At 44.8% G+C, this 13,844-nt stretch overlaps 1 protein-coding gene across 2 annotated transcripts in view, besides 1 other annotated feature; it reads left to right on the plus strand.

Annotated features, from left to right (window-relative positions):
- Positions 1-13,844, plus strand: part of SHROOM2 (shroom family member 2) — a 163,015-nt gene that overhangs the window by 1,617 nt on the left and 147,554 nt on the right. The gene's annotated exons all lie outside the window — the stretch shown is intronic.
- Positions 4,983-5,506: an enhancer, noted in NCBI's record as "H3K27ac-H3K4me1 hESC enhancer chrX:9761068-9761591 (GRCh37/hg19 assembly coordinates)". NCBI's record gives its function as "activates a minimal SCP1, AML or CMV promoter by ChIP-STARR-seq in naive H9 embryonic stem cells {active_cell/tissue: H9 hESC(naive)}" and the evidence as "EXISTENCE:reporter gene assay evidence [ECO:0000049][PMID:30033119]".

Raw genomic sequence — 13,844 nt, forward strand, 5'->3', positions numbered from 1 at the left:
CCACAGATGTGCGCCACCATGCCTGGTTAATTTTTTAAAATTTTTTGTAGAAACGGGGAGTTTCACCATTTTGCCCAGGCTGGTCTCGAACTCCTCTGCCTCCCAAAGTCCTGGCATTACAGGCATGAGCCACTGCGCTTGGCTCAGAATGTGGATTAATCCAAGCTTTGAATCTTCCTCTCCCAAAAGCTACTGAAAAGTCACTGGGGCTCATTAAAAAATAGCTCTTCTAATCGTTTTTTTTTTTCCACTTGTAATTAAATAGTTACATATTAGAGCCCTGGAATACTGTACAACTCACTTGCTATTTAGCAGACTCTGATTTGGGGATAGCTTGCATTAAGGTAAGAGCGCACCTTCTCTTTATGATAATGAGGGTATCATTTGAAAGCCTCATGGGAGTGCGTGTAGTAGAACTGGGAGGGGTGTCAAGAACAAGGCTGGTTCGGTCCTGGTCTTCAGATGGAATTTTATCAGCCCATTTTATAGATGAAACAGCTGTGGCCCAGGCAGGGCAAATGGTGTATCCTGAGGTCACAAACTGTTGAGTCCTGGGAAAGGCCCTAAGAATCAGACTCTGGCCCCAGTGTTCAAGCCTGCTGCTCCCCTTCAGTCAGTGCCATCTGCTTGGGTCTGGGATCTCCTGCAATGCCATATTGAATACCTTCGTCACATCGGTTAGGTGAGGGTTTGCCAGCCTTGGCATTGGGGACTTTGTGAGCTGAATCTCTTTGCTGTGGGGCTGCCCTGTGCTTTGGAGGATGCTCAGCAGCCTCCCCAGCCTCTACCTGCTTGATGCTACTGTCACCTCTCTCCAGGTGTGATGACAAAAATGTCTCCAGACATTGCCAAATGTCCTCTGGGGGCAAAATTAGCCTGGTTTTGAATCTCTTTTGTTAGATTAACCATATATCACCTTTGCTCTTAAAGGATTCTTGCTCTTAAAACTTCTGTTTCTTTTTGAATAGACTGGCCTTTAGGGTGGTGTGTTTAGAGGCCTCTGGCATTGCCAGTGTTTGCATGGAGAGCTGTTTTCCTCCCACGCGTTGGCCCTGAGAATAGGCTTTATTTACATAGTCAAACTCAAACAAATACTTGCTTCATCTGCATTTTTTGTAGCTGGAGAAAGGAAATTGAAGCAGGAACTCCCAAGTGCTGTGTTTTATGGGCATCCACAGTGGCTGTTCAGAATCAGGACTGACTACTCTCTGGGTCTAGTTTGAAGCTAAAGGGATACCAACTTCAGAGGAGTAGCATTCTTGGAATTTGGGGTGCATGCATGAAGCCCAGCAGAACCTCCGCTGACAGATGGCGACAGGATTCATCACTCCTCAGTACGTTTCTGCTGATTTCTGCCTTGAAATTTTGCTACAGTTGGTGGAAAAAATGCACTCAAACCCATATTTCCATGCTGTTGTTAGAGAGGGGGCAGGAATAACATCCATGCTGTAGGAATCTATGTAACGGAAGTAGAGATGGTGGATATATGTGATCCTGGTGGGTTTTTTGCATGTTTCTGTTCCCATCCATTCAACCAGTGGAAGTCTTCAGTGGGGGGAGGGGAGGGGACTGATTTCTAAAATGTCACTAGAGTGGCTTGAATTCCACAAAGCTGTTTGGGGGATTCATGAGGAAGCGTTAAATACACCAGCTGGGTGTCAGCAGCCCCCTGTGGCCTCAGGAATGTTTGTTAAGGGAGGGAAGGAATGAAGCCCCAGCCTCTCCTGTTCACTATTTCTTAGAGTCCGCTCCCTCCCCCAAAAAGAATGCCAGAAGCCTTAGCCCGAAGCTCCAAAGAAGACAGTAACTTGGGCCTGGCCTAGCCCCAAGGGCAGCTCCTTTGGGAACCCATTGATTTTCGGGTTGCCATTGGGCACCAGAGCTGTTGTGTGCGACAAGACTGCTGTGGTCTGGGACGCTTGGAGGTCCCCCCCACCTGACTCACCCACCCCAGGGCTTCAGACTCTGAGAACATTTCTCTGGATTGGAGACAGAGCTTTGAAATGTCCTTTCCAGTGTGAATGCCAAAGACGGAATCAGGGCATATTTTGGGGGGCGTGCAGCCAGGTGGCAAGTGTCTTATGTAAAGTGTTAGCTGAGTCCTTGATTGCAGAGGGCACAGGGCTGAGACTGGTGGTTGGTGATGGGCAGGAGTGGAGGCCCCGCGCCTCTGATGTACCTTACTTATTGGTTTGGAAAGGGGGCTCTGCATTATGGGCCATGCCAAGTCACCTCGTGACCCGAGGACCGGGGAGATCAGAGTGACCACCCTGGTCGGGATCAGTTCTTGTCTCATATGCCATTATATTGGCTCCCAAGAGCCAACCAAGCTCTTTGTGAAATATCAGTAAAGGTTTTGAAAAAGAGGGACCTGATGAATTCAGCAGTGGGTCAGGAGCGGGTGACTCTCAACTTTGTGGCTGCTGGTGGATTTTTGTGCCCAGATGCAGTGTGCGGTCAACATCTGCACGAGGGAGTGCTGCTGCTTCTCCAGGTGTCTGAGAACCAGTGGGTGAGGGCTTGGATCTCCCTTGCCTCTGCCATCTCTAAGTGATGTCCGAGTTGTAAAGCTTTACTCACTTTTTGATGCCAGCTACCATGTTTTCTTCAGCTATTAGGATAAGTGTCATTATAAAGATCCATCTGTATTTAAGAATTAATAGTAAGGTTAAAAACCAAGAGGTGAGCTTTCTTTCCTGTGCTGAAAGACCCTTTCAGTTGGTAGGCCCGCCTTGCCAACTGGCTTTCAAGTCTATCTTTATTACCTTTTCCCAGCCTGTGAATTAATGTGACCCTGCTGAATTCTCATCCTTGTTCTCCGGCGATGTTTTGGGCAAGAGTGTGGAGTCAGGCAGTGAGCCTCAAGTCCTATTCCAGGGTCTGGGAGCTGGAGGCTTTGAGGGTCAGCTCTGGGAGGATTCTTCCTCTCTTAGACATTAACTCAGCTTGACTCACGCCTATGAATCCAGAGCCTTCTGCGATTATGAGAAGCTGTAAACATAAGCTATGCATCTCACTTCTGTACCAGGATGCGTTCGGTCTTCATGGCTCAGTTATGAGTATTTCTTAACATGTCGTAACATTTATCTTTTGAAAAAAAAAAAGAAAAGAAAACTAGTTTGCCCAAGAGCTAAAGGTAGAATAGTATGATAATGAAAGGCTCAGAACAAGTAGCAGTTTTCACCTTGTCCTAATGAGCTGGGGGTTTCTTAATCTACCTTTGTAATTCATGGTCAAAAAAACTGGCTTGCCACTTGGGAAGGGCTGGTTTTTCTCTTTGGAAAGCATTTTGGAGTTGTTTGTCCCCTTGCCAGAGTTGTTTTGTATCAGCATGCAAATAAACCTGGATTTGTGGCCAAGTTCTTAAGGGCAGTGGAGAAAAGCTGGGGCTCTGTGGAACTTTTCTTCTTGCACACCGGGTGCAGCGGAAACATTCTACACGATAATGTTAGAATGTAAAAGCTGAATGGACTTTTTATTCAGGTCTTCTTTTACTTTCAAGCACTGTAGTCAGCAGTGGGGCAATTCATGAAGGATAAATTCTGCAGGTTTCTGCAAGCCCTCTTCCTACACATGCAAGCCGAAAACTTTAACCCACATGAAGGATTTTGAAAGAGTTCTGGGTTGCCTGTTGCTCTTTTAGGCCTTTAAAAAAATATCACCAGTGCCAGGCACGGTGGCTCACGCCTGTAATCCCAGCACTTTGGGAGGCCGAGGCGAGTGAATCACCTGAGGTCGGGAGTTCAGGACCAGCCTGACCAACATGGAGAAACCCTGTCTCTACTAAAAATACAAAAAAATTAGCCGGGTGTGGTGGTGCATGCCTGTAATTCCAGCTACTCGGGAGGCTCCCGGGAGGCAGAGGTTGTGGTGAGCTGGAGATCGTGCCATTGCCCTGGGCAACAGGAGCAAAACTCCATCTCGAGAATAGAATAGAATAGAATAGAATAGAATAGAATAGAATAGAATAGAATAGAATAGAATAGAATAGAATAGAATAGAATAGAATAGAATAGAATAGAATAGAATAGAATAGAATAGAATAGAATAGAATAGAATAGAATAGAATAGAATAGAATAGAATAGAATAGAATAGAATAGAATAGAATAGAATAATCACCAGTATCTGATACAGGGAGGGTGTATTCTGGAGGAATTGTTGTCCTTTACCTTGTGTGATGCAGTATTTGGGCTGTCCTGTAGTAGAGCCAGCCTGTTCCCATTATGGGTGTGAATGTTCCAGCTTCTCTTTGGGGGAACATGTCTTAGAAGGATAATACTATATCATTAAAAAGAAAAAATTGGACAAACCTCATTTGGTTGAACCTTAGAACTAGGATGTTCTGAATTGCAAAGCAAAGGTAACATTTTTTTCCCCAGATAAGGAGCCCCTGGGCTGTTTTTTTGTGTTGTTTTTTTTTTTGTTGTTGTTGTTGTTTTAAATCCCCAGCGTATTAAGTTGCAGGCAATGAGGGCTGCTTCTTTTGGATGGAAAGGGAAGAAAAACAGCATCTTGGCTTGGCTAGGAAGGGCTGGGATTATCTTTCTTTTGGCAAAAGGTGACTTTCAGATCAAAGGCAAATTGTTGAGGTCAACAAGAACCCAGGCAGGGTAGACTCTGTGTCCTTGAAAGGTAACACTTCTTACTCATAGAAGGGAAGGGGCAAGCATGATAGCGTATTTTTTTTTTTTTAAGACAGATTCTTGCTCTGTCTCCCACACTGGAGTGCAGTGGCATGATCTTGGCTCACTGCAACCTCCGCCTCTGGGGTTCAAGCAATCCTCCCACCTCAGCCTGGCGTTACAGGCGCACACCACCACGCCCTGCTAATTTTTGTATTTTTAGTAGAGACAGGGTTTCACCATGGTAGCCAGGCTGGTCTCTAACTCCTGACCTCAAGTGAACCACCCGCCTTGGCCTCCCAAAGTGCTGGGATTATAGGCATGAGCCATCGTGACACGCTAGGAGTGTCAGTGTATCTTTTATGAGGTTTTATTTTATCAAAGTGGCTCTTGCACAGTATGAATTATCAAGTAGTTCTTCAAGGGTGCTTATATGCTACTGGTCATTTGGCCTGACTACTGATCACTTCCCCCTCCCTAGAGACAACTATCAAAACGTCTTAGCTGATTTCTTTTGGTATTTCTGTCCATATCCCTAAATGATGGCTTATATTGTATATTGCTGCAACTTTTGTTTATTAGCTTGTTCTTCCCAATGTAGGATATTAGGATGTAGCCTTTTTTCCACTCTTTTTTTTTTTTTGAAAGTCTCGTCCTGCCACTCAGGCCAGAGTGCAATGGCATGATCTCGGCTCACTGCAACCTCCACCTCTGGGGTTCAAGCGATCCTCCCACCTCACCCTCCCGAGTAGCTGGGATTACAGGCTCGAGCCACCATGCCCAGCTAATTTTTATATTTTTAGTAGAGATGGGGTTTCGCCATGATGGCCAGGCTGGTCTCAAACTCTTGGCCTCAAGTGATCTGTCCACCTCAGCCTCCCAAAGTGCTGAGATTACAGGCATGAGCCACTGCGCCTGGCCCTTATTTCCACTCTTTTTCATTGCTCATCTACCCTCCCCCAACTACTCAGGCACAATTCTTGGCCCTTCATACCCCTAATGTGATTACATCATAATTTTTTGGTGTGGGGCCATCCTGTGAATTGTAGGATCTTGAGCAGCATACCTAGCCTCTTCCTTTCTTTTTTTTTTTTTAGACAGGGTCTTGCTCTCTTGCTCAAGCTGGAGTGCAGTGTCATGATCACAGCTCACTGCAGCCTCCATCTCCTGGACTCAAGTGATCCTTCCCCCTCAGCCTCCTGAGTAGCTGTGACTACAGGTGCATGCCACTATGCCCAGCTAATTTTTGTATTTTTTGTAGAGATGGGGTTTCACCGTATTGCTTGGGTTGATCCTGAACTCATGGCCTCAAGTGATCCTCCCACCTTGGCCTCCCAAAATGTTGAGATTACAGGCGTGAGCAACTAAGGCTGGCCTCTTCCCCGCTCTGAGGAGCATGGGGTTACCAATATTCAGTGTTTATTTTGGTTGCTATTGCTATCACTGCTGAGTCTGGGGGTACATACTGTGGAGTCCTGATAAGTTAGCATCAATGAAGAAGGGACCCCAGGGTGGGGGAGAACAATTGTTCTGAGAAACTGCTAACCACAAACAACTCTGCGTGTAGCTTCTCCAGCATGATCCTATAAAACTTCCCTCCAGCCCCTGCCTCTTTGCAACCCCTTCTCTGCTGTGTTGCCTGTTGCTCCCTTGCAACATACTTTTTCTCTAATAAATTAGTCTTCTCTTCTCTTCTCTTCTCTTCTTTTCTTTTTTCTGAGATGTAGTTTCGCTCTTGTTGCCCAGGCTGGAGTGCAATGGCGAGATCTCGGCTCACTGCAACCTCCGCCTCCCAGGCTCAAGTGATTCTTCTGCCTCAGCCTCCTGAGTAGCTGGGATTACAGGCGCCTGCCACTACGCCTGGTTAATTTTGTATTTTTAGTAGAGATGGGGTTTCTCCATGTTGGTCAGGCTGGTCTCAAAATCCCAACCTTGGGTGATCCGCCCACCTCAGCCTCCCAAAGTGCTGGGGATTACAGACATGAGCCACCGCGCCCAGCCATAAACTAGTTTTTCTTTAACTGACTACTGTCTCAGTAAATTCTTTTACTGCCCGTGACTCTGGCCCCAGCCAGTGTACCCACAACACAAGTTTCTGCAGTCACTAGGGTTCAGGATAGTTTTCTTTGCTTAATTTTCAGTGCACTTATCCTTGATTCATCCCTCAAACCCTCCCCAGTGATGAAATATCTCTTAATATATTCAGACACACCGGGGGTCATCTTTTGAGATCTTCTCTGTCTGAAAACAGCATGATTTTTATCTTGACAGTAAATTGTTTGGGCGTAGTCCTGAATGGAGACAGTTCTCCCACAGCACTCTGAAGGTGGTGTCCACTCTGCTGTTGTGCAGTATTGCTGGAGGGAGATCAGACGTTTTTGTTTCTTGATCTTTTGTACTAGGTCTACTTTTTCCCTCTCATTTTTCTTTTTCTTTCTTTCTTTCTTTCTTTTTTTTTTGAAGAGACAGGGTCTTGCTGTGTTGCTCTGGCTGGAGAGCCGTGGCTATTCACAGGCACGGTTATAGCCACACTACAGCCTTGAACTCCTGTGCTTAACTGATCCTCCCATCTCAGCCTCCCAAGTAGTTGGGTTTACAGGTGTGTACCACTATGCCCAGCTCTCTTATTTTGCATTTCTTTGTATTTTTGTTCTTCCTGGAAGATTTTGTTCAACATCATCTTCTAATCTTTCCATTAAGTTTTAAATGTATGTCCTCATTTTTCCCTCAGATTCTAAACTTTTAAAATTTGTTTCTCAAATGTTCCTTTTTCATACCATACTGATCTTGTTTCATGATTCTTCCATATCTGTGACAGTATTAAACTGGTCTCTAAAAATGTCCTCTTTTTGCATAGATTGTTTCTGAGCTCTGCTTTTGTTGTTTGTTTTGGCTGCTTTCTTCCCTGTTAGAGGTTGTCTTCAAATGTCTAGTGCTCCTTGGCCGTCTGCTGGTATTGAAGGTTGCGTTCCCCAAAATGCTGTTTGGACACTCCGTGCATGGGGGTGAGTGATCAGGTGAAGCTGTTTCCCTGGGTATTCCTCTAAGGCTGTATCTTTCTCTTTTTTTTTTTCTGGAGGGGCAGGGAGGCGGCCATGTTTTTGTCAGATACTTTTTTTCTACTTAATAAACTTCTGGTGTAGTACAGGTTGAAAAGTAATGGGAAGTCTGCCAGTTGAGGGGATCTCTCCTTTGCTCAGCTGGGCGAGGGTGATCATCTCTGCCCCCCAACTTTGGCTGTAGTGGTTCCAGTTTGGAGGGAAGGTTACCACTAGGCAGAGGAGGCAGTGCTTGCTTGCTTGCATCCGGAGCTGGATCTTGCTCTCAGTTCCTAACCGTTTCTAATCAGTAATCCTCTGTCTGTCCAACTAGAATCATTCCTATTTTATTGTGGTATCATGGGGATTAAATGAGGCAACACATAAAGCTATCTCTAGTAAATTCAAATTCCCCCTCACTTCTCTTCCTCACTTTCCCTACTCAATCCTGATTCATTAAGAATTTGGAACTTTGGGAGGCCGAGGTGGGAGGATTGCTTGAGCCCAGGAAGTCAAGACAAGCATGGGCAACAAAATGAGACCCCATCTCTACAACAAATAGAAAAATTAGCCAGGCAAGGTGGTATGTACCTCCAGTCCCAGCTACTTGGGAGGCTGAGGTGGGAGGATCGCTTTGAGCCAAGGAGGTTGAGGGTGCAGTGAGCCAAGATCACACCACTGCACTCCAGCCTGGGCGACAGAGTGAGACTCTGTCTCAAAAACAAAAAATAAATAAAAAATAAAAATAAAATAAAAAATACATCTAATGCCCAGCATCAGTACATTTCCTATGTTATTTGTAGCCCACCAGAAGTGATTCTTTCCTCTCCTCTACCAAAAAACTTTTTTCCAGAATAATAGTGTTTCTTATTTTTATAATATTAATAAAGGGAGTAGCTCTTTCAGATCAATGTGGTATTCAGAGTAGGGTTTTTATTTGTTTTTTTGTTTGTTTTGATATGGGGTCTCGTTCTGTCATTCAGGCTGGAGTGCGGTGGTGTGATCACGGTTCACTGCAACCTCAGTCACCTGGGCTCAAGCAGTCTTCCCACCTCAGCCCCCCAAGTATTAGGACTACAGGCACATGCCACCTCATCTGGCTAATTTTTTGTATTTTCTGTAGAGGTAGGGTTTCGCCATATTGCCCAGGGTGGTCTCGAACTCTTGGGCTCAAGTGATCTACCCACCATGGCTACCGAAAGTGCTGAGATTACTGATGTGAGCCACTGTTCCTGGGCCAGAGTAGGGTGTTAAAAAAGTAGTTTTGGGAAGTGGCAATAGTGGGAAAGATGAAGATTCAGTATCCCTGTGACAAGACTCTATTTCTTCACTCTTTCAATCTTTGGAGTAGAAAATCTGTTAGGGTTTAGAGTGGGACCCACAAGTGTGGCAGAAATGCTGCCTGCCCGAGTCCTTGTTGCCTCCTCCTCTCAGACACTGTTGGGCCACATTTCCCAGCCTCCCTAGCAGTTAGCTGTGGCCTCCTGACGCTTCTACCCTGGGGAGTGCAGCTGCAGCCATGCCTGCCATTTTACTTTTCCCCTTCTGGCTGCCTGGAATGAAGATGGCCGCAGGGCAGAGTTCATCAGCGTGGATCCCTGAATGACTGCAGAGGTGGCTGCCCATGCTATGGTCACCATCCATGGTGAGCAAGAAGTAAGCCTCTGCTGTGTTTGGGCCATTCATTGTATGTTTTTTGGATTACTTGCTGTAACAGACTATTCTCACAAATGAAATGCTGGGAGAAATCAGAAGTTTTCCTTCTAGCAAATATACCCAGCTTTAAGAGGCGGAATATACGGTGCTTCTTTTACACCCATGCTGGAAGGAGTGAGGAAAGCATCACTGTGGGTGTCCAATTAGCATGAAGCCTATTCCCTGCACACTTATTATATAAAATGAGACCTCCACGCCCATTGGCGTCTTTCCACCTCCTTACCCTTTTCTCTCAGCTGGTAATTTATTCACCCCCACCCCCCACTTGCTCTTCCTTCTCCTCCCCGGGGATGATTTCCTGGGAGCCCTGGAGCATTGGGGCAGGAGGCCGGGAGAATGCCCAGTCTAGATAATTAGTCCTAGGTGGGGCTGGCCGGAGGCACAGTGGGTGGGGTGGGTGGCCAGCTGCTGTTAGGATGATTTCAGGGATTGGACCTTCCTCCTGGTGGTGGTGTCCTTTCTTTAACTGCCTTGGTTAAAATGCAAATGTTGCCTGGGAGGGCTACACATTGTCATCATTAACAGAACTGCCTTCATCAGATTAATTAATTATAGTTCTGTATGGCAGACTTTTTTCCCCCTGGTAGTAGCACCCAGACACATGAATTAGACCAGCAAAGAGAGGAGAGATAAAGTTGAAAGCCAGATGAAAGCCAAGTAAAACTGGCCTCGGGAGGAAGGTGGAGCTGGCGGAGTGGGAGTGCTGAGGAAAGACCTTGTCTGTTCAGGTACTGGCCGCCTACAAAGAGGAGTTAGGACAGCCTGTGGAGGAAGCTGGTAGGGAGAGCAGGGGCCCAAGTCCAGCTGAAAACCCTCCCTGGACTTGCAAAAGAGGTGAAAGAGATTCTTTACCTATGGCTTGCAGATTCTGAAGCTGACGAAATTCCACATCTATTGGTGTTAATTGTGCATCTGTTTGCAAATTTGTAAACATGGTGATATTTATCTCTGCTAATTGTATAATGCTTTGTACAGTGTCTTTTTTCTTGTTGCACAATTAAAATGAAAAAAATTGAAAATAAAGGAAAAGATTGATCCATAGCCCAAAACATGTAATAATCTTATTTCTGAAAGTACAGCTGTATTGATTTTTCCCCATCTCTGTGGAATTCTTTGCTTTGAACCTCGTAGATCTAATTTTTAATTGCTTGAAAACCCTTAAGAATTACATTGTCAACAATCTTTGGAATCAGATGAAAGGAGTTTAATTGTGTGTATGCCACTTGACGTTTTAAGAAATGGTATGTTTTGTTGTGGAATATATTTTTATAATTTAGGTTTTTCTAGACAGGCATATTTTTAAAAACCCTAATTTCTGGAAAACGGAGTGTACTTTATATTGGTCAAATATGTCAGTCTTTCAAACAACTATGCTTTTTTGTATGTGCAGCTTTTCTTAACATTTTCATTATGTTTAGATGCCCTGAATCTTGAATTAAAGTTTGGAAAGAAAACATCTGGACTTGAAAAGATAGGCCTGCTGCTGCTTCAATCATATTTATTTTGTGTTGATTTAACGACAGAGCTCTCACATGCTGATGCCATTAGGGTTTGGGACGGAGCCATTTCCACTCCCCCTCCTCATTTTTAGTGGCTGGTGTTTTGGGGACAAGTAATTAAAACTTGTACCACTATTCATGGTTGTGAAATCTCAACACAAAGGTAAAATTCCTGAGGATGCACCTCCTTGTACCCTGAGGCAGGAACTTGTTTGCCTTTACGGAGAGTTTAATTCTTTTTTTTTTTTTTTTTTTTTTTTTTTTGAGATGGAGTCTGGCTCTGTCACTCAGGCTGGAGTGCTGTGGCATGATCTTGGCTCACTGCAACCTTTGCCTCCCCGGTTCAAGCAATTTTCGTGTCTTAACCTCCTGAGTAGCTGGGATTACAGGTGCGCCACCGCGCCCGGCTAATTTTTGTATTTTTAGTGGAGATGGGGTTTCGCCATGTTGGCCAGGCTGGTCTCGAACTCCTGACCTCAGGTGATCTGCCTGCCTCAGCCTCCCAAAGTGCTGGGATTACAGGTGTGAGCCACCACGCCTGGCCTGAGAGTTTAATTTTTAATTCTTAAATTACCCATTAATTAATTACCATTAATTAAGAATTTTTAATTTTTAAATTACCCATGTTGTAATTGCTTCACTGAAAAAAATGTTCAATTCCTATGAAAACTCTTTATTTCCCCTTCTTTCTATTTTTACAGTGGCTTACACTGGTTCTTTTCCTTTGCCATCTACTAGAAGGTTGGATTTCTTGAAGGTCCTTTTATCTGTCCTCTCTCTCTCATCTAGGTGGTCTCATGTGCTTCCTCGAGATAACGTGCATCTGTTTGCAAATTTGTAAACATGGTGATATATGGTGCCTATAGACAATGCTCATATCTATATGTGCAGCCTCAACTTCTCTTCTTTTTTTAATTTTCAATGACCATTTTACCAAATCAACTTTTCGTCTGAACTCTGAGATGGCCCTTGTGTGTTGCTGAGGCCCTTTAAACTCAGCACAATCCAAATGGGAATCATTCATCTTCCTTTACCTTCTCTAATTCTGAATTTCTAATCTTGATCATCAGTTTATCCCCAAATCTAGAAGTCGTCCCTGATGCCTTCCTCCCCTTAACCTCCCACAGCCAGTTGATCACCAATCCTTTGGAGCCTAAATACGGGGTGTGCATTGCTTTCTTCTCATGCCCAGCGTCACTGCCTCCAGTGGTTTGCTCCAGTGACTGCCTGGGCAATCACAGTAGTCTGTAACATGCATACTGCTGCTCACCTCTTCACATGACAGACTCTTGAGACCTCCAGTAGTCGGTGTGCCAAAACAGTGGTCTACTTCTCATGCTCTTGCTGGAAAAGCCTCAGTAATTCCTCATGGGACACCTTAGCTAGGTATAGAAGGCTTATTTATTTTATGTATTATTATTATTATTATTATTATTTGAGATGGAGTCATGCTCTGTCACCCAGGCTGGGGTGCAGTGGCGTGATCTTGGCTCACTGCAACCTCCGCTTCCCAGGTTCAAGTGATTCTCTTGCCTCAGCCTCCCAAGTAGCTGGGATTACAGGCACCTGGCACCATGCCTGGCAAATTTTTGTATTTTTAGTAGAGATGGGGTTTCACCATGTTGGCCAGGCTGGTCTTGAACTCCTGACCTCAAGTGATCCACCCGCCTCAGCCTCCCAAAGTGCTGAGATTACAGGCATGAGCCACCATGTCTGTCCACTTTATTTTTATTTTATAGAGATGGGGTTCTCATCTCTGTCACCCACTGGAGTGGGTGGTATGCAGTGGTGTAATGATAAATCACTGTAACCTCAATCTCCTGAGCGCAAGTGATTCTACCCCCAACCCTTGCCTCAGCCTCCGAGATAGCTGGGACTACAGGCATGCGGCACCATGCTCAGTTAATTATTTTTATTTTTTGTAGATACAGAGTCTCACTGTGTTGCCCAGGCTGGTCTTGAACTCTGGCCTCAAGCAATCCTCCCACCTTAGAAGGCTTTTTATGTTTTATCGATCCTGCCTATTTTCCACCCTCGTTTGCCAGTAACTCTTCATGTAACACTGTATTAGTCTGTTCTCACGCTGCCAGACATACCCGAGACTGGGTAATTTATAAAGGAAAGAGGTTTAATGGACTCACAGTTCCATGTGGCTGGGGAGGCCTCACCATCATGGCAGAAGAACAAGGAAGAGCAGAAGGATGTCTTACATGGCAGCAGGCAAGAGAGAATGAGAGCCATGTGAAAAGGAAAACTCCTTATAAAACCATCAGATCTCATGAGACTTATTCACTACCATGAGAACAGTATGGGGGAAACTGCCCCCATGATTCAATTATCTCCCACCAGGTCCCTCCCATAACATATGGGAATTATGGGAGCTATAATTGAAGATGAGATTTGGGTGGGGACACAACCAAACTGTATCCAACACTTTAGCTGAGTATGAAAAGTTCTTCATGCTTTAGCATCTGTCTTTTCCCTGGCCTCATCTTCTGCTGTTACCCACCTTGATCCTTCAGTCCTGCATTGTCTAATATGGTGGCCATTTGTCATATGTGACTGTTGAACAGTTGAAATGTAGCTGGTTCAAATTGAGATATACTGTAAATTAAAATATACACTGGATTTTAGACTTAGTCTGAAACACAAAAGATGTAAAATATTTTAATAATAATTTATTATGTTGGAATTATAATATTTTGACTACATTGGGTTAAGTAACTCAAATATATTATTAAAATTAACCTGGCCAGGCATGGTGGCTCGTGCATGTAATCCTAGCACTTGGGAGGCCAAGGTGGGCCAATCGCTTGAGCCCAGGAATTCGAGACCAGGCTGGGCAACATGGTGAAACCCCGTCTCTACAAAAAAATACAAAAAATTAGCCAGGCGTTGGTGACTGGCACCTGTAGTCCAAGCTGCTTGAGAGGCTGAGGTGGGAGGATCACCTGAGCCCAGGAGGTTG

This window comes from Homo sapiens, chromosome X (genome assembly GCF_000001405.40).
Source record: "Homo sapiens chromosome X, GRCh38.p14 Primary Assembly".
In the NCBI taxonomy this organism is placed as follows: domain Eukaryota; kingdom Metazoa; phylum Chordata; class Mammalia; order Primates; family Hominidae; genus Homo; species Homo sapiens.